We start from the raw sequence: 21,649 nt of genomic DNA, 5'->3' as shown, positions 1-21,649 counted from the left end.
TAAAATTGTTAAAAATTTCACACTTACCTATTTTTACACAGTTTTAGTTTGGGCAAAGTTAAGTGTAGCTTTTGCAAAACACCTGAAAAAATTGTTTCTTTTAAATTTATCTTAAATTGCCTCTATAAAATTATAATGACTGCCAGGAAACATTTTTGTCTTTTTATTATTTGTTTCCATTGCTTATAGAAATAATCCCAATCTGTAATTCACACTAATATCTAAAATTGCCAAGCTAAAAACATTTGATTGAGAAAAAATGGCCTCTTCCTCTTTCTCCAAGAGAATGAGATGGTTTTTTTGGCTGTCAGTTTTTGAGGCAGGGTCTCTCTATGTCACCCAGGCTGGAGTGCAGTAGTGCAGTCGTGACTCACTGCAGCCTCTACCTCCTGGACCCAAGTCCTCCTGGACTCAGCCTCCTGAAAAGCTGGGGCCACACATGCGTGCTACCATGCCTGGATAGTTTTTAGATTTTTTGTAGAGATGGGTTTTTGCTCTGTTGCCCAGGTTGGTCTTGAACTCTTGGGCTCATGCAATCCTCCTGCCTGGGCCTCCTGAAGTGCTGGGACTATAGATGTGAGCCACCATGCCCAGCCAAGAATGGGATGTTTTTTACCCAGACTTAAAATTATAATTGATCCACTTGAGAAATAAAATAAATATTCACCTGAACTTTTATCACCTGAACTTGGGAGCCATTAGTTTCAGATAAATTTTTAAATAAATCTATTGCTGTCAAATCTGTCATTTACTTACCAACTGAAGTTGTGAACCAAATAGATTTGGATAACATGATACCGCTTAATAAACTTGCTACTCTATTTCTTACTCTTTGAACTCAGGTAGTGAACAGATTTGGATAGTAAAGCATGCTTGATTTTTTTTTAACCTAGAGCATTGTACCTAAGTGAATGCTGTTATCACTACAAGATTTTATAGGGTGTGGAATATTCAAAAGATGTAATATTTTTCTTTGAAATTGCTTGGTCTTTAATGTGTTTTGTCATGCATTTCCTTTCTTTCTTTTTAAATCTTTTTTGAGACGGAGTCTCGCTCTGTCACCCAGGCTGGAGTGCAATGGTGTGATGTTGGCTCACTGCAACCTCCGTCTCCTGGGTTGAAGCGGTCCTCCTGCCTCAGCCTCCCAAGTAGCTGGGACTACAGGCATGCACCACCGTGCCTGGCTAAATTTTGTATTTTTAGTACAGATGGGGTTTCACCATATTGGCCAGGCTGGTCTCAAACTCACGTGATCCACCCACCTTGGCCTCCCTAAGTGCTGGGATTACAGGCATGAGCCATCGCGTCCAGCACATTTCTAATACAAATCTATTCTCAAAACTTTTATACAGTCACACACCTAAGCAACACAAATTGTATGTGATAATAAATGTGTACTTTTGGATATTCATCATGATCTTGCTGCGATTTACCTTTTAAGTCAGGGAAAAGAGAAATGAAATTGCTTCAGTGATATCTCTAAGAGTATATCTGTATTGTTTTAGTTTTCATCTGATTCCACTTTTCGATATGTGATAGAAGAGGGAGTCTAGGTTGTAGTACTAGAAGATGGAGTTATACATTTTTACAGTAATCCTTTTTGCAGAAGTTGAAGATTTACTATGAGATGGTTTCTTAATGAAATGTGAAAAGTCTGTAGTTTTGGTTTATTCCTGAAAGGCAACATTAATAATATAAAGGCCCTTTGGGCAGTTTCTACACCTAGAAAGTACCTTTGAAGAAAAGGATTACGTATGTGAGAGAATGTTGGAGTTTCTGATGGGAGCAGCCAAGCAGGAAACATCCAATATTTTGTCCTTTCAGCTTTTAGAGGCTCTTTTGTTTAGAGTTCAGCTGCACATATTTACTGGAAGATGCCAAAGTGCACTGGCAATTTTACAGGTAAGCACTTGGTACAGCATTTAATTGCATTTTGCAGAAAAAGTTTAAAAGGTCTACACCGTTATCCATAGCATTATTTAATGGTTGAAAGCACAAGATTTGGATTTGAATCCTTGTTTTTCCACTTACTAGTAAGTCATGTGACATTGGGTAAGTTTATGACTTTATTTCCTCATTTGCCTGATGGGTGTAATATCTTTAGAGTTTTTATAAGTTTTCAATGAAAATATTTTATGTTAAGTATCCACAGGTAAACTTCAAGATTTAAGCCATAAAGGAAAAAAATCAGTCTGATGAAAATAATCTATATGGGTGTGGTTTAAAAGATTTTTTTTCTTTTTACTGTTTTGTCTTTGTCTTATTAGATTTTAAGTATCAGGACACTTAAAATGTACAAATAAATGTGACCTTTTTATTATTTCATAAACTTTAGCATAGTAAAAATTATGTTAATCTGGTACTGACATCTCTAATTTTTTTATCAAAAAATTTTAAATTTTGCCTAGAATGCATTGAAATCTGCTAATGATGGAATAGTAGCTGAATACCTTAAAACCAGTGATCGATGTTTGGCATGGTTGGCCTACATACATCTTATTGAATTCAACATTCTCCCTTCAAAATTTTATGATCCATCTAATGATAATCCTTCAAGAATTGTTAACACTGAATCATTTGTAATGCCATGGCAAGCTGTTCAAGATGTAAAGACTAATCCTGACATGTTGTTAGCAGTTTTTGAAGGTAAGTATAAAGTTTATAAATTGTAATATCAACTGTTATAACATCAGTGTTTAGAACATTAACTACCCATTATTGTGATTCTCTGTAATTAAGTGGAACAAATTTATATCTCTATATTGCAAGTTTTAGTTTCACAATTTATTAGGCAAATTAAGTCTTGAATCAGAGAAGATGGACACTGGCATCTTTGAAAACCAATAACTGCACGATATTACATTGTTTATCTTTCTGATTGTGGCAAAGGATATCTGTTAAATGCGTAGAGAAAATAAATTATGTAAGTTTGATGAATTGATTAAATCAGAGAACTAGGTACTTTTTTTTTTTTTTAGCAGTCCATTAAGGTGGAAGTTTAAAGATTTCTATCTTTTCAACCAATTAATATTTTCTCCATCAGTCAGTGAGTTTGGTTGCTTCTCTATATTAAATGATACGACTATTGTGGAACACATTACAAGATATAAAGCCTCTTCCTGAAGGAAGTATATAGCCTAGTCAGAAGATAAAATCTATACATTTGTCATAATTATTAAACATACAAGGCCATATAACTGTGTGTTAGTATATAGTCTAAATTGTATGCTACGTAAAAGAGACTAGGGCCGGGCACAGTGGCTCACGCCTGTAATCCCAGCCAAGGAGGCCAAGGTGCGCGGATTGCCTGAGGTCAGGAGTTCGAGACCAGTCTGGCCAACATGATGAATCCCTATCTCTACTAAAAATACAAAATTTAGCCGGGCGTGGTGATTCACGCCTGTATTCCCAGCTACTCGGGAGGCTGAGGCATGAGAATCGCTTGAGCCCAGGAGGCGAAGGTTACAGTGAGCTGAGATCATGCCATTGTACTTCAGCCTGGATAACAGAGTGAGACTCAGTCTCTAAAAAAAAGAAAAAAAAAAGAGACTAGGATCTGTGATTTATAGAATTATTTGATACAGGCCATGAACCCAAAGGGAAGAGATTATTATAGATTGGCATGATCAAGGAAGTCTTCATAGAAGAATGGGGACCTGGAGCTAGATGTCGAAGCATGGCTATCAGTATGACAAAGTGGGTCTCATCAGAGATGGGGTGGACCCTTGTCTTATTTATCATTTTACTCCTAAGGGCCTGTAAGGATGTCTGGCAAATTATTAAGTGCTTATTAAATACCCTGTGAAGGAAGGAGAGAAAAGAAAGGACATTACTGTTAGGGGAGTTAAATAAACAAAAAGCAACAGGTAGAAGGGAATTTATGCAATGGATTTGAAGTGAGATTGGGAAAAGGGATAGGTCTTATCAGACTGAGAATTCTGTGCTGGACAATAGTAGTGATTAAGCTTGATAAGTAGAATGATACTTGATTGTCAAGAATCTTGAAAATGTGGTAGACTGGATGGCAGTAGAGGTTCTTTAAGAAAGAGAATGTGCTTGAAGAGAAATTATACCAATGGTAGGAAAACCAACCAGAAGCTGATGGCAGTAACTGAAGTACAAGAAAAGTATTCTGGTAAGGAGGATATTAGAGATATTTTAAGTTATCACATGGAAATACATGGGGGTGAGGCGGGGGGGTTGAAGATTAAATGTCAGGGAAGAGGAGGAGGAGTAAACAAAGATTTCAGGGTTTTGAGACTGGGAAAAGGAAAGTGTCATTAATAGAAAACTGGTAAGTTGGGAAGACTGATTTTGATGGTAGGAGTAGTATTTGTGATTGTAATTGGTCATTCAAGTGGAAATGATTGTTGGCGGTAGGAAATAAGGAAGTGGACCTTGGCCGTGCGTGGTGCCTCACATCTGTAATCCCAGCACTTGATAATCTGCTGAGGCATGTGGATCACTTGAGGTCAGGAGTTTGAGACCAGCCTGGCCAACGTGGTGAAACCCCGTCTCTACTAAAAATACAAAAACTAGTCGGGCATGGTGGTGTGTGCCTGTAATCCCAACTACTCGGGAGGCTGAGGCAGGATAATTGCCTGAACCCAGGAGGCAGAGGTTGCAGTGAGCCGAGGTCGTGCCACTGCACTCCAGCCTGGGCAACAGAGCAAGACTCCATTTCAAAAAAAAAAAAAGAAAAGGAAGTGGACCTTAATTGGACAATTATCAATACATAAGTGGATTTGAGTGTTATTCACATAGAAGTTACTGTGTTACAGGGTGCTTTACAGTTTTTATAATGTGCTTTTGAAGTAAATTATGCAGTAGTTGAGGCTATGAGATATTTTTTCTGAGGAAATGAGATTTAAGAGCATAACAGTAAGGAGTAAAAGGGAGAGTAGAGTCATTAAAATGGGACTAAGAGGAAATTTAAACAATCTATTGGAAGCAGAGGCAAGAAGAAATTAAAAAGAAGGGAAAGAACACTGTCAAATGTTAAATAAAATGAAGGTAGAGGTGAGCTTTTATGTTTGGTTAGATATGAGTCCTTATGAATGAACTTCAAGAAGACAGTTTCAAAGTGATTGCATTCACTTTTAAACTCCACAGATCTGGGAAGCTGTGGTACCATTGGGTAAGGAGGAAATGGTCACAGCTGGGCAAAGTAAAACATTGTACCGTTTAATAAGTGGCAAAAAGATCAAGAAAGAACTCTTTACAAGGGGAAAAGTGTGTTTTGATGGAGTAAGGAAAGGATCTAGTTTGGAGAGACATTCAAATGGCTGTGGGGCAGCAGAGCAAGACCTCCTTTGCAGTGGTCAGGGAAAGATGAAAAGATAATTTATTCTGTAATTTTTTTTTTGTTGAGATGGATTTTAAAGAATTTAGGATAATTGCAGAGATACTTGTTTAAATGAAAACACTGATAGATGCAAAAGCTCATATGGGATGGCTTTATTCTTACCAGGAAAGTTGAGGGTAAGGAATTGAATTTTAGGATTTTGGAGATTACTTGAATTACTTCCTTTGAGTAAAAGCCAGCTCAGTAAAGGTGAATAAGATGATGGATGGGTAATCAAAGGGAGGGGTCATCTTTTCCCATTGGTCTCTCAGAGTTGAAGTAACACAGTCAAATATTTCATTTTTATGATTGACGTGATTCATGTTGTTGTGATGTTTTTGGGTAGATGCAGTGAAAGCTTGCACAGATGAGAGCCTTGCTGTTGAGGAAAGAATAGAGGCCTGCCTTCCACTTTACACAAACATGATTGCTCTGCACCAACTCCTGGAGAGGTACAACTTAATTGCCAAGCAGCTAACCTTATATTAAAAAGTGATCTTTTCATGTCTTTAGCCTTTTTTTTTCTTTTTTGTTAAGGTATGAGGCTGCAATGGAGCTTTGTAAATCTTTATTGGAATCATGTCCTATTAACTGCCAGTTGCTGGAAGCTCTTGTTGCATTATATTTGCAAACAAATCAGCATGACAAAGCCAGAGCAGTGTGGCTTACTGCATTTGAAAAAAATCCTCAGAATGCAGAGGTTTTTTATCATATGTGCAAATTCTTCATCTTACAGGTAAAAATGATGCATAATTCTTAAATATGATGCTTTTATGTTTCAAATTTTGCTATTGGCCTCACCAGGAAGTGTTTCCTGGTCCTTTTACCCTTTGCAAGCAGTGTTAGGTGTTCCTTCTCTCTTTGCCATAGCACTTAGTACAGTGCTTTGTAATTTTATTCCTAGCTGCTTTAATATATACTATACTAAACTTCTTGAAGGCAAGGAACATGTTTACTCATATTTGCAGCCCAACGCCTACCATGGTGCTAGATGGCTAATACATAATTGGTGGATGAAATATGAGCCTGTGGTAATACTAGAAGTTAAGCTGTTTAATCATTAGTTGAACTTAATTCAGAGAGTAAAATATAAAAGTTTTCTGAGTATGTCTCAAACTTATCCCCTCCGCCCCTTACCCACTCAAGAAACTTAATCTAATGAGTACTTTTTTAAGGCTTTTTTTCTCCCTCGTGACATTTTAATTAAACATTGTAAGCCTGATATATATCCCCCTCCCTCTTTTTAAAATAGAATCGAGGCGATAATCTTCTTCCATTTTTGCGGAAATTTATTGCATCCTTCTTTAAACCGGGGTTTGAGAAGTATAATAACTTGGATCTGTTTCGGTAAGTTGTAGAATTCTTAGTTTGTAGAGGAATGAGAGAGAGCACAGTTCAGTAGAAAGATTACAGTTTTTTTCTTATATGATGACATTTTAGACTGACTTTTTAGTACTTGAATACCCACTTAACAGAATACTTGAAACAGAATAAATAGAACAATAAAAATGGAGGCAAGATGGAAAATTCTTTAACATTCTGTGGATTAAACACACTGTACAAAGTAAGGCATATACTAACACCATAGTAACTCATTCTTTTACTTTATCGTTATTGTTGTTAATTTTAGTACTTAATATTATAGCACTTAATTATCCCAAGGCAATCTCAGTGATTTTTTACAAAATGTATTTTCATTTATTTGATAGGTCATCAAAGTGACTATAAATAATACGCCTTTTTCTTTTTTTAATTCTGAAGAGAACTGCTCTAGCCTCTGAAATGTTATAGAGTAAGACGTTTCAGAGGATTCTTTTCTCAACCATTAATTTCTTAATAGCTCATATAGAGCTGTGCTTGCTGTCTTTCCTGAGAGTTCCTATTCCAACAGTAAGAGGTCATGGCAGATTTTGAATAATGATTTTTTGGGGGGAGGCTCTTAAAATTATCTTTCCTTTGTCCTCCTCATCTCTTTATGGGGTTAGCAAACTTTTTTCTTAAGAGCCAGAAAGTAAATATTTTAGGTTAGCAGGCCATGTAGTCTATTACCACTACTCTACTATGTTGCTTTATTGAGAAACCAGCCATAGATGAAATGCAAGTGAATGGTTATGACTGTGTTCCAGTATAACTGTTTACAAAAATAGGCATGGTTTGCCGATCATAAGTAAAACAGCATCAAAAGGAAAATATTTTATCACAACATACTCTATTATTTTGTATTAGGAAGAACAAGAGAAGAAAGACCTAAGCTGAATATCTCCCCAAAAAATTTCTTGTAGAAAATACAGATGAGCGAAAATAGAATCTTAAAGCCCAAATTTTGTTAAGTAAGTGATCTATTCAACCTAGAACTTGTTTTTTGTTTTTGTTTTTTTTTTTTAATTTTATTTTAAGAGAACGGAATCTTGCTCTGTCTCCCAGGCTGGGGTGCAGTGGTGCGATCTCACCTCATTGCAACCTCCGTCTCCCAGGTTCAAGCAATTCTCCTGCCTCAGCCTCCTGAGTAGCTGGGATTACAGGCGCACACCCCCACGCCCGGCTAATTTTTTTATATTTTAGTAATGACAGGTTTCACCGTGTTACCCAGGATGGTCTCGAACTCCTGAGCTCAGGCAATCCGCCTGCCTTGGCCTCCCAAAGTGCTAGGATTACAGGTGTGAGCCACTGCGCCCGGTCCACCCTAGAACTTGTTGTGAACATGGCAGTTTTATTTAAGATTTGGGGACACTATTCCCTCCCAGACTTGAGTCTTTATATATGTCCTCTTATGGTAGCCAGTTTATTGCCATAGCGATTTTAGTGCCCTTCCCAAAGGGCCCTTCTTTCTGCTCTGTTACATCCAGATTAATATTTACAAATAATTACAAATGAAATAATTTTAAATGCAAATTAATAGAAAATAATTAAACTTCCATAAGGGATTTAGAGATTTTTCAGCTTCTCCATACTCAGTTTCTTCCTCGTTTAAATTAGTTTGCTTTAACATCTCAAGCTCAGGCAAAGGGCTAATTCAAGGCTGAACCAAACTCTTTAGAGACTTGCTGGTTCTGGTCTTGGGCACAGAGATAATTGGTTTAGTTTAAAAGAAAATGCTACCAATTTCTGCCTTGGTAACTAATGAAAGATCTTCAGATCTTCTTGATGCCAGCTTAATTGGCAGAATAAATAAGCATCAATAAAAATTTGAAAATGAGTTGTCTCCAAATATATTCTCATTACTAAGTCATCTTTATTAAATTCCTTTGTGGAAATAGTCATAATTCACTGAGAATTAAGAGAAAAAGGTATCCTGTTTATAGCTTATTTAGACAATAGTGAAACTCTTGGTTACACAAAGATTGTGCATTTCTGTTAGAGAGTCTTTTTCATCAGATATTAGGAGAATGACGATAGATGAGACCATTTTTGGCATTGCCATACTTATTGTATATTGATATAAGTTTTTTAAATTCATAAGTTGTCAATGTTTATTAATAGGAGAAATCTGCTCTTAATTGGTTCAAAATACTTTTAAAATTTCATGAGTAGAAATTGTTAAGCAAAATGCTTAGCACTATAATTTTTACCTGGAGTTGAATTCTGTCAACTCTCTATGTGACATTTAGTATAAAGATGGCAGGCAGAAAGAACTAGATAGGGTAATTTTCATGTGTTTCAAGTCAATTTGAAGATTAAGTAGATAGCCAGAAAAATTAATTTGGGGATTTCATTTACTTTAGTAAAGTTAAACTAGGGATTATAGTCTTAAGTAGATTAGATTTGAAGTCATCTCTTCTGACCATCTCAGTTTTCAGTGAGGAAGTTAAGGGATTAACTCATGGTGATGTAGCTTGTCTTGGCAAAGTCAGGATGATAACCTAACTTCTAGATGTTCTATTTCTTCTCTTTCTTGTGTTTGCCCCCCATACAGCCCGTCTAATTCATTAAGACTTGTTCCCTTGCAATTATTTAAAAATTTAAGATAAATAGTTATACTAGATTGTCATTTTTGCGATCAATGTATTTCCTTTAAAAACATTGTTCTTAAAGATGGTGGTAAGTATCATACACACAAATTAAAATACATTGGAAGGAAGATGGACTTAGTCAAGTAGAATTCTATACTGATTGACTTCTTAGAGTCACTGGGATTGACCTATAATCCTAGTAAGTATTGTGGCTTTTCAAGATGGGGCTATAATTTGTAGTATTTCCCAACCTTATTTGATCATAGATCTTTTGACAGGTACCTTACAGGCTAATGTGTTATAGAATACACTTTGATATCATGTCTAAAATTAAACTTAAATGGGTTGTATGTGTGTATGGCTGTATGTGAGAGAGATTACTTTCAGATATAAGGTTTAGTAAATCTTTTTTTTTAAGAAAGGGTCTCACTTTATAACATGGGCTGGAGCACAATGGTGTGATCTCAGCTCACTGTAACCTCTGCCTCCTGAGTTCAAGCTATTCTCCCACCTCAGCCCGGGAGTAGCTGGGACTGTAGGTGTGCATCACCACACCTGACTAATTTTTGTATTTTTTTGTAGAGATCTTGGGGTTTCACCCAAGTTGTTAGCCAGGCTGATCTTGAACTCCTGACCTTAAGTGAACCACCCGCCTCAGCCTCCCAAAGTGCTGGGATTACAGGTGTGAGCCACAGCCCCAGGCCTTGTAAATCTTTTTTTTAACAAGAAAGTACAGATTTCATTGGAAAATTTCAGATACTTGGTAGACTCATTTGTTCTTTTTAAACTAGGTTTATTTAGAGGATTATGGTGTTTTGTTTAATCTTGGGGATAGAATAAAAAATTCATTTTAGGAGGAGAGTTTTTCATATAGGTATAAAATAATAAAACTGTGGCCAGGCGCAGCAGCTCATGCCTGTAATCCCAGCACTTTGGGAGGTTGAGGCAGGAGAATTACTTGAGTCCAGGAGTTCAAGACCAACCTGGCCAACATGGTGAAACACCATCTCTATTACAAATACAAAAATTAGCTGGGTGTGGTGATGCATGCCTGTAAGTCCCAGCTACTCAGGAAGCTGAGACATGAGAATCACTTGAACCTGGGAGGTGGAGGTTGCAATGAGCTGAGATCATGCCACTGCACTCCAGCCTGGGTGACAGAGCGAGACTCTGTCTCAAAAACAAACAAACAAACAAAAAAAAGCATTTTGAGTAATGTGTAATCCTAGAGATGTGACCAAAGAGGTATGGTATACCTATGAAAAGAAAGTCTCATTGCTTTCTAAAAAAATATTTCAATGAAATTTAAGTGAAACTAACGATTTTAAAAAATATGTGTGTAATTCCTGTGTGGGTAGGTGTAATTTAAAACAATATTTGGATTTTTTTTTTCAGGTATCTCTTAAATATTCCAGGACCAATTGACATTCCATCTCGTTTATGTAAAGGGAATTTTGATGATGATATGTTTAACCACCAAGTTCCTTATTTGTGGCTGATTTACTGGTGAGACATCCACTGTGGAGAGATATTGCATACTAGGCCTGCATTTGCTATTTATTACTGAATTACACTGTGTTTGTTATAATTAACTTGATGTTAAAGTCATTGAAGCACAATTGAAGAGATGCTAAGGTTTAGTATATACTAGAGAAGAAAGGTCAAAAGAAGGATTCTATTGTAATAACATCTGTAATGTTTAAAATACTTTGTCATTCCTTCACCTGATGGAAATGAATGATAGACATATGTTTTCCTTCATTTTTTAAACAGCCTTTGTCATCCTCTTCAATCAAGTATTAAAGAAACAGTGGAGGCATATGAGGCAGCATTAGGGGTGGCTATGAGATGTGATATAGTACAGAAGATATGGATGGAGTAAGTTTAGGTTTTCTTGATAAGAATGAGATTTGGGGATAAAGGGGTATGATCGGGAAAGGGGTGACCAGCTTTCTTGGTGAGAGAACTACTGTCTTAGTTATTCTAAATTATAATATTTTTCTTTTGGCAGTTATCTTGTCTTTGCAAATAATAGAGCTGCTGGATCCAGAAACAAAGTTCAAGAATTCAAATTTTTTACTGATTTAGTGAATAGATGTTTGGTTACAGTCCCTGCCCGATACCCCATTCCTTTTAGCAGTGCTGATTACTGGTCCAACTATGAATTTCATAATAGGGTAAGAACTCAAAACTTTTTTCTTTAGATATTTGTGTAAAACAAAGAGACTTTAAAAATGATAGCAAAACTCCTGTTTTATATCAAGAGAGCTTTTCCTAGGACTACTTTCTTAACATTCACTATTATTCTTGACTATGTTTCTTATTTATCTATTCAGAGTCTAGCAATAGAGCCCTTTAAGGCACAATTAAAATGTGCATTAATTATTATGTTATGGTTATGAAAATTTAACATTTGAAGCAAAATGAAGGGATATTAAGATGTAATACATATTAATGAAAAAACACGTCAAATGAAAGATTCTATTGTAATACCTGTAATGTTTTGCTTGAGTAGTTGAAAATTCTACTGAATGAAAAATTTAGTAACTTCAAAATAAATAAGAATGGACTTATACATTGTAGCTGCTCTCTTTGTTAATATTTTGTCAAGCAAATATAGCTATACACAAGGCATAAGAAAGTTTAAAATTAGGTGCTGCTTATAATTCTAAAAGTAGAATCTAATTAATGATATAGTTTTGTGATTATCTTTTAAAAAAATTTTTTTTCAGACACCACTTTTATTCAGTGCATTATAGGCTAAAAAGCTCCTTGCTAAAGCTCATTGTAGACTAAAACATATATATGTTTTATTTATTTATTTTTGGTGGGGTGGTTTTGTTGCTAATCAGGATAACCAATTATTATGCTTTGTACTTCTATGCCATTCTTTATCCCAGGATCTCAAACCACTTTATGGACATTAAGTCATTTACACACGGGCATTCCATGAGCAAGATGTGGCAGGTATTATTAGCCCTATGACTTGCCGAGCTATACAGCAAGTAAAGGTAGACTCAGGAATGAAAACCCAGACTCCTGGCTTCTTGTCAGTGTTCTGCCCATGGCTCTCATCACTAGACCATATTTCCTAATTCATATTTGGAAAGTCACTAATAAAATTAATGGTAGGAACTGTAACTCACAACATCATACATTATTATAATTTATACATTCATATCTTAAAGACCATTTTGGTTTTCGTGTTAAAACACATAGGTAATTGGATTTCACATTTTGGTTGCATTCATTTTTCGCCCCCCTCAACCTTTACAGGTTATTTTCTTTTATTTGAGCTGTGTTCCAAAGACCCAGCATTCCAAAACCTTGGAACGGTTTTGTTCAGTTATGCCAGCTAATTCTGGACTTGCATTGAGGTAAGAAAAACTTAACATTCTTTTGGTCCTCTGCCTAATGGAATAGGCTCTTTATATAAGATTATTCTTGAAAACTTGATAAAAATAGTCTGTTGTTCCACTATGTCCTCATGAATATATACTGCTTAATTTCAGAGTTGTTAAGCCAATATTTAGCTATTCATTCAAAAGTCAGTGTAAAAATTCTGGTCGCTTCAGAAAACTTCAGGTTACAAAGGGGCAAATAATTCCATTCAAGTAAAGTTCATCTGTGTTCCCTAAACACACACCATCTGTCCTTAGCATGTGCATTATAAGCAGTAAGCTTGTTTTCCACGGCAAGGGAATATTATTTAAGATGTTTTCATATTTTCACCTAGGTCAGTTGCTCTCAAATATTGGCAAACATTAGAATCTCCTGGGATGCTCATTTAAAATGTAGATTCCTGACCTTGAGCCCTCACACTACATTTTTGAAGCACTGATTAGGGATTTCATATATTCGATCAGAACGAGATTTCTCAGCCTTTCTTTGTAGTTTCTCTGCTCTGATACAGCAAATCCACTTTCATCCGCAAGAATTATGCTTTTTAATTCAAAAAGGTACCCTGCATGCTAATGCACTGGCTTCCACGTTTGCAGTCATTCCCACTGCATCAGTTGTATCTTAATGTTTTATGGATCATAAGATGCCTAAAATATTTATGAAATGTTCCCTTATGTTTTAAAGGATTTACATTTCATTTAGCATGTATGTGGGGAAAATCGTATAAAAGTTTAAAAACTAAAGTTGAGACAAACATAATGGTAGTATTTTACAGTTTTCTTAGCAAGCCTGCCAATCTGTAGAAGCTCATTACAGAAATGTTAATTATGAAACACCTTTGATAAAACGTGAAATAGAAAATGTCATATTTTGACATGATTTTCTATTGTGATAGGCATTTTAGAATATAGGTAGTTTACTTGTTTATTTTGTTGGTAAATCCCTACATCTGTGTTTTGATACTTATTTCCTCTGGTCATCCCTGTTCTTTTTTTCCAGGAGAATAAAGAACTTTAATAGTTACTATACATGCATTTTAGTTCAAGAAACATTCAAGACTGATCATACTCTAAGAAAGAAAAATACCAGGAAATTGCATTACTATCAAGCCATTACTTTAAAAAAAAATTGGGGTGGGAAACAGGGACTGTTATTTGGCGGGAATGCTTTCATGTCCTATAGAAATACATGGACCTTAGTGTAGTTTGGTAAGATGAGCATAGATCTTGACTTGACCTCTTCGTAGTTTGCACATTCCTGTCCCAGGGTAATTTTTGTAAGAGGCATTCTAAAATATTTGCTGGGTAGTCTTGATGGAATTTAACTAATCAAAATTTATACTTCGTCATTGTGCTCATAGAGCACATTTGGGGTTCGTTACACTTGCAATGCTTTGTTCATTTTCCTGAATGTACTTTACAGGTTACTTCAACATGAATGGGAAGAAAGCAATGTTCAGATTCTGAAACTTCAAGCCAAGATGTTTACATATAATATCCCAACATGCCTGGCCACCTGGAAAATGTAATGCAACAATCATGTACATGTTTTTATAGCTATTGCTTTTATTTATAAGGTTTGCTCCAGACAGGTAAATCTGAAATGACATCTATATATATATATATATATATATTTTTTTTTTTTTTTTTCCTGGACAGATTGCTATTCTTAATTTAGATTTGTTTTTAGCATTTACTGAGGTTTAATGAGAGTGAGTACTCATTGAATAGCCTCTAAAAGCAAAAAGCGTAGACTTTTAATTTTCTTTGAAGGACAACATTTAGGTGACAGTACTGTTATCAAACAAATCTGCTACAGACATTTTAAGACCACCTCTTGAAATGGTGGTGTGTCACCTGTTGTAGTCTGATTTCTTCTTTCTTTTAAAGGTGTTAGTGCTAGGTATTTTTGACTAGTAATTATGAGGTGTTTTTTTTTTGTTGTTGTTGTTGTTTTTTTTTTCTCCTGTGAACGTTATTTATGTTCAAAACACTGGTCTGCTTTTTTCTTGTAAAGTTGATAAAAATTGTTGAATTTTTCTTTTCACTATAGGTTTTCCTCCTTGGAAGTTTAGCCTGTTAACTTTCAGGAAGTTTTGTACTCAGATTCCCACAGTCAGTATTCTGCCAGTGGTGGTGTTTCATTTTGTTCAAAGATATATAAATTTTTCTTTTCCTTTTTCTATATTTCTTTTTTTTTTTTTTTCTCTTAGAGCCATTGCTGCTGAGATTGTTCTAAAGGGACAAAGAGAGGTAAGCCATGGTTGAATCTCAGATGGGTCACTTTTAAAAAGTTTTTCTGTCTCTTTTGTTGACTTCTCAATTTAAAAGAATTAAAGCACAGAAGTTAACATTTCATGCACACTAAGAACCAAGTGGGGAAACAAAAGTAGTTAACATTTTAAGAGTACCAAATATTCGGAAACTCCAAAACTCAGCATAACCATTTTGTCTCAGATGTTATTGTGAATTACCATTCTTTAAACAGATGGAATTATGAAGGTGTTTTTCATTATATTTTCTGATGGAATTGTGTGTATATCTATCTTACAGGTCCACCGTTTATATCAGAGAGCCTTACAGAAGTTACCTCTTTGTGCATCACTGTGGAAAGATGTAATGCTTTTTATCTTTTATTTTATCTCGATGTTTTCCTGTAAATTTTCTGCATGTGCCATATCCATTGATGTGGTAATGCTCAAACTCTAGCTAAGTCTTACTTCTATGCTTCCCTGTCTTTTACAGCAACTCTTGTTTGAAGCATCAGAAGGAGGTAAAACTGATAACCTGAGAAAACTAGTTTCCAAGTGCCAAGAGATTGGAGTCAGCCTAAATGAGCTCTTAAATTTAAACAGTAACAAAACAGAAAGCAAGAATCACTGAACACTGGGTGCAGTCAGTTCTAAGTCCTTATAATAATTGCCAAAATTATTTGAATGATTCTTCAAGATTAGGCTGATCCCTGGCTAAGGTCTGTGTAAGGCAGACAAGCGTTATTGATCATATCAAGTTCCCTACAATATCCTGTCCTCAAAACCGGAAGCAATGAACATGATCCTCTTCGGTTGGATAAATGAACTTCCTGTTTGGCCTGCTTCTAGGCCCTGCCAGATTCTCATAACATCATATACGTAAGTATAGTTCCTCAAAGTGACTGACATTTATTTTAATTTTGCTTTGTTTTTTTTTATTTTCTCCCCCATTCCTTTATTTTGTGTTATTCCTGACTCACTTGACACTCTCTGATGCCTGAGAGATTCCTGTTTGGGATTTAATATCCAGGGCTGTGTTTACAGTAAAAAAAGCAGGCAGTCCCTTTTAGTTTTTCCTTTTTAAATTTTTTTGAGATTCTTCATTTCAGGATTTAAAACTATAGCAGTCCATCTTAAGGAAAGTGTAACTGCCATGGCCACAAGTCTGCTAGTTGCACTTGAATGCTCTATCAGGGTTGTTTATTACCCTTTCTACGTTCTGGACTCCTTGCCGAGACTGTTTAACTTGAAGATTAAAGAAACTATTGCAAATGCCAGTGCATCAGAACCTAAGAGTGGTCAAATATTATGTGCAATTTTTTTGTAAAGAAATTTTAATTTATAATAAAGTTTAACAGTTTAAAGAACAGTTAATATTTGAACTGCTTTGTATTGAAATACTACTTTGTAGTATTGAAATTGTTTATATACTTTTTTAATATAAGTTAACTTTCTAAAAACTCTTGCTGTCTTTATTCACTTTTCACACTGGTGGGAAAGGGTTGAAGTCGGAGATACGGATATTCACCATAACTTATAGCAATACTTTTTTATCTTGAAACTGCTTTCCCATTAAAAAAAAAAAAATTAATGACTTTTTAATTCATGAGAAGATGGATACTGTTGTGAGGACAGTGAACAGAGAGGTTTGCACTACCATTAAATTCCTTGTTCTCAAATTCTCAGTGTTTAGAAAGTGCCTCCCAACCGTAGTTTGAATGATTTGCCTAGTGACATGCCATCTTATGTTGAATATCAGTGTGATTGAATGCAAAGGAGACCTTGCTTTTTATTTTGTTTTCAGTTTATATTTGGTTGTTTTAACCTTGGCAGGAAAAATGTTAATGACACAACGCACACTGGCACAAATCTGATCTTAGAACTACATGTGCTTGAACTGTTAGAGGCAGAGCAGCAACCCCATGAAATACTAGGAAACTTGTACATGTTTACATTTGTATAATGCTCACTAGAAATAGAACCATATTTTGAGTCCCTATTCTGTACCTACCAGACAGGGCGATTTGGCTAGTAAGTGCTGTTTGATGGGGCCAAGAATGGAATCCATTTGTCTAGTGTCTTTCATTTAATCAAAAAGAAAGCTGGAGGCTTACTGGTTTTTCCCTAAAACCAAAAAAAATGTGGGTGGAAGATAGTAATCCCAGAGGAATAGATATCTACTCACTGTATGCATTTAACTTTATATAACTTTGAAAGCTTTTCCTCCTCTGATTTTTTGAAAACAGTTGTTGGGTACTTAGTAAAATATTTCCAGTGTGTGCCTCCATACATAGTGTAACAGTTTTTATGTTAACTGAAATGTCTCAGAAGTTTTTAGGAGACAATGCTAAGCCTGAACTTTTGTTGCATTAATATTTCCATCAGCAGTAACTATTTTGTCTCTGTCTTTTTTTTAATGAGTTCTTTGCATTGGTGTATGTAGAACTCCACTCAGTGCATGCAGTCACAGGGTCCGTCCATGGAGGCTGTACACTAACAACTCTAGGGATGGCCATTCACATGTTCCGCACAGTCATGTAGGAATAGGCCCTGTTTCCTCTTTGATCCATTGTCATATTGCTATTTAAAGGTACCTTATACAAATGATATTGCCTTAAAGATAAATTCTGATATCTTTTCCTGTCAGTTTATAAACTCAACTTTAACCTTCATGTAAAAAAAAATCACACACACTGCTTAAGGGTGAGGTATATGTTCCTGTCATCCTTCCATTGTCAGTTTTACTTTTTTTTTTTTAATGAAGTACTTTCAGTACATGATAATTAAAGTATTAAACAAATTTGGGTTAAAGTTTTTATGGTTATTGTAGAAACATGAATATAAAAAGATTTCACATACTGTGTGACTAAAGTCTTTCTTTTGGACAGAGAAAAGACTAGTCATTGAGAACTGCAGTCCCTTGTATTCGCCACCCCTGCTGGGGGACAAAACATGCACACAAAAGAGGCCTTTTTAGGCTGTGGGATTTTATCTCTGATAAAGGAAATGGAGTGGTAGATTATGATGTATTTTTATGTGTTTTTGTTCATTTTAGAGAACAGCCTAATATTTCTATTTGCCTTTTAACGGAAAGTGGACCTTGTAACATTGTTTTTCACTCTATTATCTAAGGCGGTTTGCTTTCAATTAAAGGGTGTATAAACCTACATCATAAAGTAAGCAAGAATCTCCAGGTGCAACATCTAAGAGCTAAAGGCACTAAGCAGACAAGAAAAAAGTGATTAAGACTGACAACAAATGTAGAGGGACTTTATTGAAGATTGTAGTTCAAATATTTATTTTTCAAGGTTGTTGAAAAAGTAGGAACATGTGGCTAGAATACAAAGCAGGGCCAATATTCTTGGTTAAAGCTGTCATGTGTTCACAGATAAGTCGTAATTTCCTCAAGTCTGCTTTCATGTCTATGTTAACATTAATGTGAGGGAAGAATGGGGAAATACAATTTTAATGACCTTTCAGGTTTGAGGATTATGCCTGCAGGTGTATCATTGCCCTTCAGTGCATATTAACAGTAATTATTATACAGAACATTTTGAACAAGAGCTGGTCAAGAAAAGGCAAGTTCTGATTAACATTTCTGATATTGTTTCTTTTTTGTTCAAAATTAGGACTGTGTCTTTCCAAGCTGTGATGCTTCTTAATGCAGGTGTTAGAGTCAAGCTGAAAAAGAGCTTTTTCTTTCTTTCATCTTTTTGGGGGATAGAGGGGTTTATTCCATATGCCATCAGAATGCTCTCTTTCTACAGGTGTTCCATCTTTCTACGTGCTGTTCCATCCTGTCCTCATTCCCATCTTCCACCATCATTCACATAACCTTCCTCACTACTTTTTCAGTACTACTTGATTTAGATTATGATAAATGTGAAAAGATTTTTCAATTTTTTCTGATATCTTTGAGGTAGATAATGGAAACTTGCCCCTGTCTTCCACAAATGGTAAAATGGATATGGAGTTTGTCTCCACTTCTCATTTGGTGACCTTCACAAGAGGGACCCCACAACATGTTTTTCAGAGGCCTCATGAAGAGAATCAGGCATTTTTTCATTTCAGAATCCATTTGAGCTCTGTGCTAGGCAATCTCAATACAGAGAAGAGTAAAGGGATCCCCTTTTACATTCTAACAGAAAAGGAACGTATGCCAAGGAAGCATCTTCAAAGGGTATCTATCCTAACTTGAGTTAGAAGTTGGGAAAGGCTCCCTGAATGGAAGTGAATCATTGGGCTAAGGGATAAAATGGAGGAAAAGTTGAGCTCAATAATATTTTCAAAAATTGTGTCACTTCTATCTGTACATTTGGAATCCTGTGCATTTTTAAAAAACGTTCTGAAAAGCTTTAACTTTCCAAATTCATTCACAACTGAAAATTCATTAAACATGGTAACAGATGTGTAAAACTACAGAGCAGCCTAACTGTTCAGAAGAGAGTGCCTTTGGGGGCACCCTGTGCTTCAAAATCCACATGAGCATGACTGACTAGGAGTAATCCTATTAGAAGACCCAGTTTAAATGCCTTGATATCCAAAGTCTGATTGTAATTGCAGCTGCTGCTACTAGCTTTTCCTTTTTTCCCTCTCTCTCTCTAACTTCTTGGGTAATGCATGAATAAAATGTTACTTTCAACATTTATTATCTACAACTTGCAGAGCACTATTTCAATTCCAGTCTACATGGTTTTCCATTAATTTTTTTTAACCTTTCCTATGGTGTTGATCCATTATATTTTAAGAGTCATGGTTATTTTTCTGTTTACACAGAACTACCCAAAGATGGCCCAAAGTGGGCCAGGGGCTGTGGCTCACACCTGTAATCCCAGCACTTTGGGAGGCCGAGGCGGGTGGATCATGAGGTCAGGAGATCGAGACCATCCTGGCTAACACGGTGAAACCCCATCTCTACTAAAAATACAAAAAATTAGCTGGGCGTGGTGGTGGGCGCCTCTAGTCCCAGCTGCTCAGGAGGCTGAGGCAGGAGAATGGCGTGAACCCGGGAGGGGGACCTTGCAGTGAGCTGAGATAGTGCCACTGCACTCCAGCCTGGGTGACAGAGCGAGACTCCGTCTCAAAAACAAAGATGGCCCAAAGTGTCTTCACTGCTTTAAAGTGATTTTTCTATTTGACCCAATACCAGAGATGTTTGCAACCAATGTAAAGCTAATTAAAGCCAGGAATAAAATGACTCTGTTGAGTAACAACAATAACAAAAAAGTTTTAAGCTTAGAGGAATGTGTGCTTCCTAGTTTGATCAAGAATACAGAGGTTCCAGAATATCTGAAGCCAATATGACTCTTAAGTGGTGGGTGCTGTCATGGATCTGAATTTTCCCTCCAGTTTAAGAACAAAACAATACAAAACAGTGAATAGAATGTTAAGAATATGTGAGTTAATTGTATTTCAATTACCATAGAATAACATGACGATTTTATGCAAGACTAATAAATTTTGAAGACTATCCAATCTATAAACAAATATGACTTTTCAAGGGCCATCTTCTATGAATTAAGTAAAATTTTAAATAAAACATGAAAACTATTTGCATAGCCTTTCTTAAAAAGTATATACATTTGCCTTTTGGGAATCTGAAAGCCTCAAGACTGATTATCAAGTCTGCTGAAATCAAAGGTAGGTTTATAATGTTTGGTTGATCAAGCAGCTTAAATCTTGGAAAAGTTCTTACCTAGCGAAAGTAAGCCATATGAAAGAGAATGATAGCCAACGGTGTAAAGGAGCTGAATCAATTAGGAAGAGTGATAGACTGGTGAGCTGTTTGCATTAGTGGACATAATCAGGGCATCTGCTGCCAAGGCCAAAACAAACACTTAACTTGGCACATCATACAGTGAAATTTATGAGATTGCCAGGAGATAGATTTGGCATTTCATACTGGTTGAAATGGAGCTACAAAGAAATAGTTTCAGGAAATTGAGAAGTGTGAACCAATGTGAGTGATGAAAAAGCGTGTATTTAAAAGATCTGGGTATTAGATTCAGCTCTACCATAAACTAGCTATGTAATTGTGACAGGCCATTTCACTGCCCCCGTCTCTTTTTCTGCATCAAAATGGGGAAATATGTGTACTTACCTCAGGGGTGTTGAGATCAAATAATAGGAATTACCCTTAAAAAAAAAAAAAAGTATTTTGAGTTTGGAATCGTGTTCCAAAATTTTGAAAGCAGAGATGCTACAAAATAATAGTTTGCTTCCTCTGGACCTAATTTCTTTTCTTTTTTTTTGTTTTTGTTTTTTTGTTTTGAGACAGGGTCTCTTACCCAGGTTGGAGTGCAATGGTGCAGTCATTGCTCACTGCAGCCCCGACCTCCTGGGCTCAAGTGATCCTCCCACCTCAGCCTCATGAGTAGCTGGGATCACAGGCACACAGTATCGTGCTTGGCTTTTTTTTTTTTTTTTGTAGAGACAGGGTTTCACTATATTGGCTAGGCTGGTCTTGAACTCCTGACCTCAAGCAGTCTACCTGCGTAGGCCTCCCAAAGTATTGGGATTACAGATGTGAGGCACTATGCCCAGCCCTGGACAGAATTTCATTGCTGTCACTTGATGAAGAGCATATAACTCTACCAATGCTCAAGCATGAATTAGTTGCTGTTTGTAAGAGAGACAACAGAAAATTGTAGTCTAGGCCAGGTACCGTGGCTCAGGCCTGTAATACCTGCACTTTGGGAGGCC

The 21,649-nt window shown here is 36.0% G+C and overlaps 1 protein-coding gene across 2 annotated transcripts in view; it reads left to right on the top strand.

Moving 5' to 3' along the window:
- ZFC3H1 (zinc finger C3H1-type containing) overlaps window positions 1-16,407 on the top strand; it is a 54,250-nt gene extending 37,843 nt beyond the window's left edge. For both annotated transcript variants that reach the window (NM_144982.5, XM_047428485.1), the window contains exons 23-35: window positions 1,714-1,902; window positions 2,409-2,646; window positions 5,691-5,796; window positions 5,882-6,080; window positions 6,597-6,691; window positions 10,690-10,800; window positions 11,068-11,172; window positions 11,306-11,471; window positions 12,571-12,671; window positions 14,119-14,220; window positions 14,909-14,948; window positions 15,249-15,311; window positions 15,441-16,407. In NM_144982.5, the coding sequence (NP_659419.3) occupies window positions 1,714-1,902; window positions 2,409-2,646; window positions 5,691-5,796; window positions 5,882-6,080; window positions 6,597-6,691; window positions 10,690-10,800; window positions 11,068-11,172; window positions 11,306-11,471; window positions 12,571-12,671; window positions 14,119-14,220; window positions 14,909-14,948; window positions 15,249-15,311; window positions 15,441-15,578 (1,653 nt within the window). In that variant the 3' untranslated portion in view covers window positions 15,579-16,407. The remainder of the gene's footprint in view (window positions 1-1,713; window positions 1,903-2,408; window positions 2,647-5,690; window positions 5,797-5,881; window positions 6,081-6,596; window positions 6,692-10,689; window positions 10,801-11,067; window positions 11,173-11,305; window positions 11,472-12,570; window positions 12,672-14,118; window positions 14,221-14,908; window positions 14,949-15,248; window positions 15,312-15,440) is intronic.
- The last annotated feature ends 5,242 nt before the right edge of the window (window positions 16,408-21,649 follow it).

Source organism: Homo sapiens, chromosome 12 (genome assembly GCF_000001405.40).
Source record: "Homo sapiens chromosome 12, GRCh38.p14 Primary Assembly".
Classification (NCBI taxonomy): domain Eukaryota; kingdom Metazoa; phylum Chordata; class Mammalia; order Primates; family Hominidae; genus Homo; species Homo sapiens.
The sequence above is the reverse complement of the archived record's forward strand: the minus strand, read 5'-3'. Positions and strand labels throughout refer to the sequence as shown.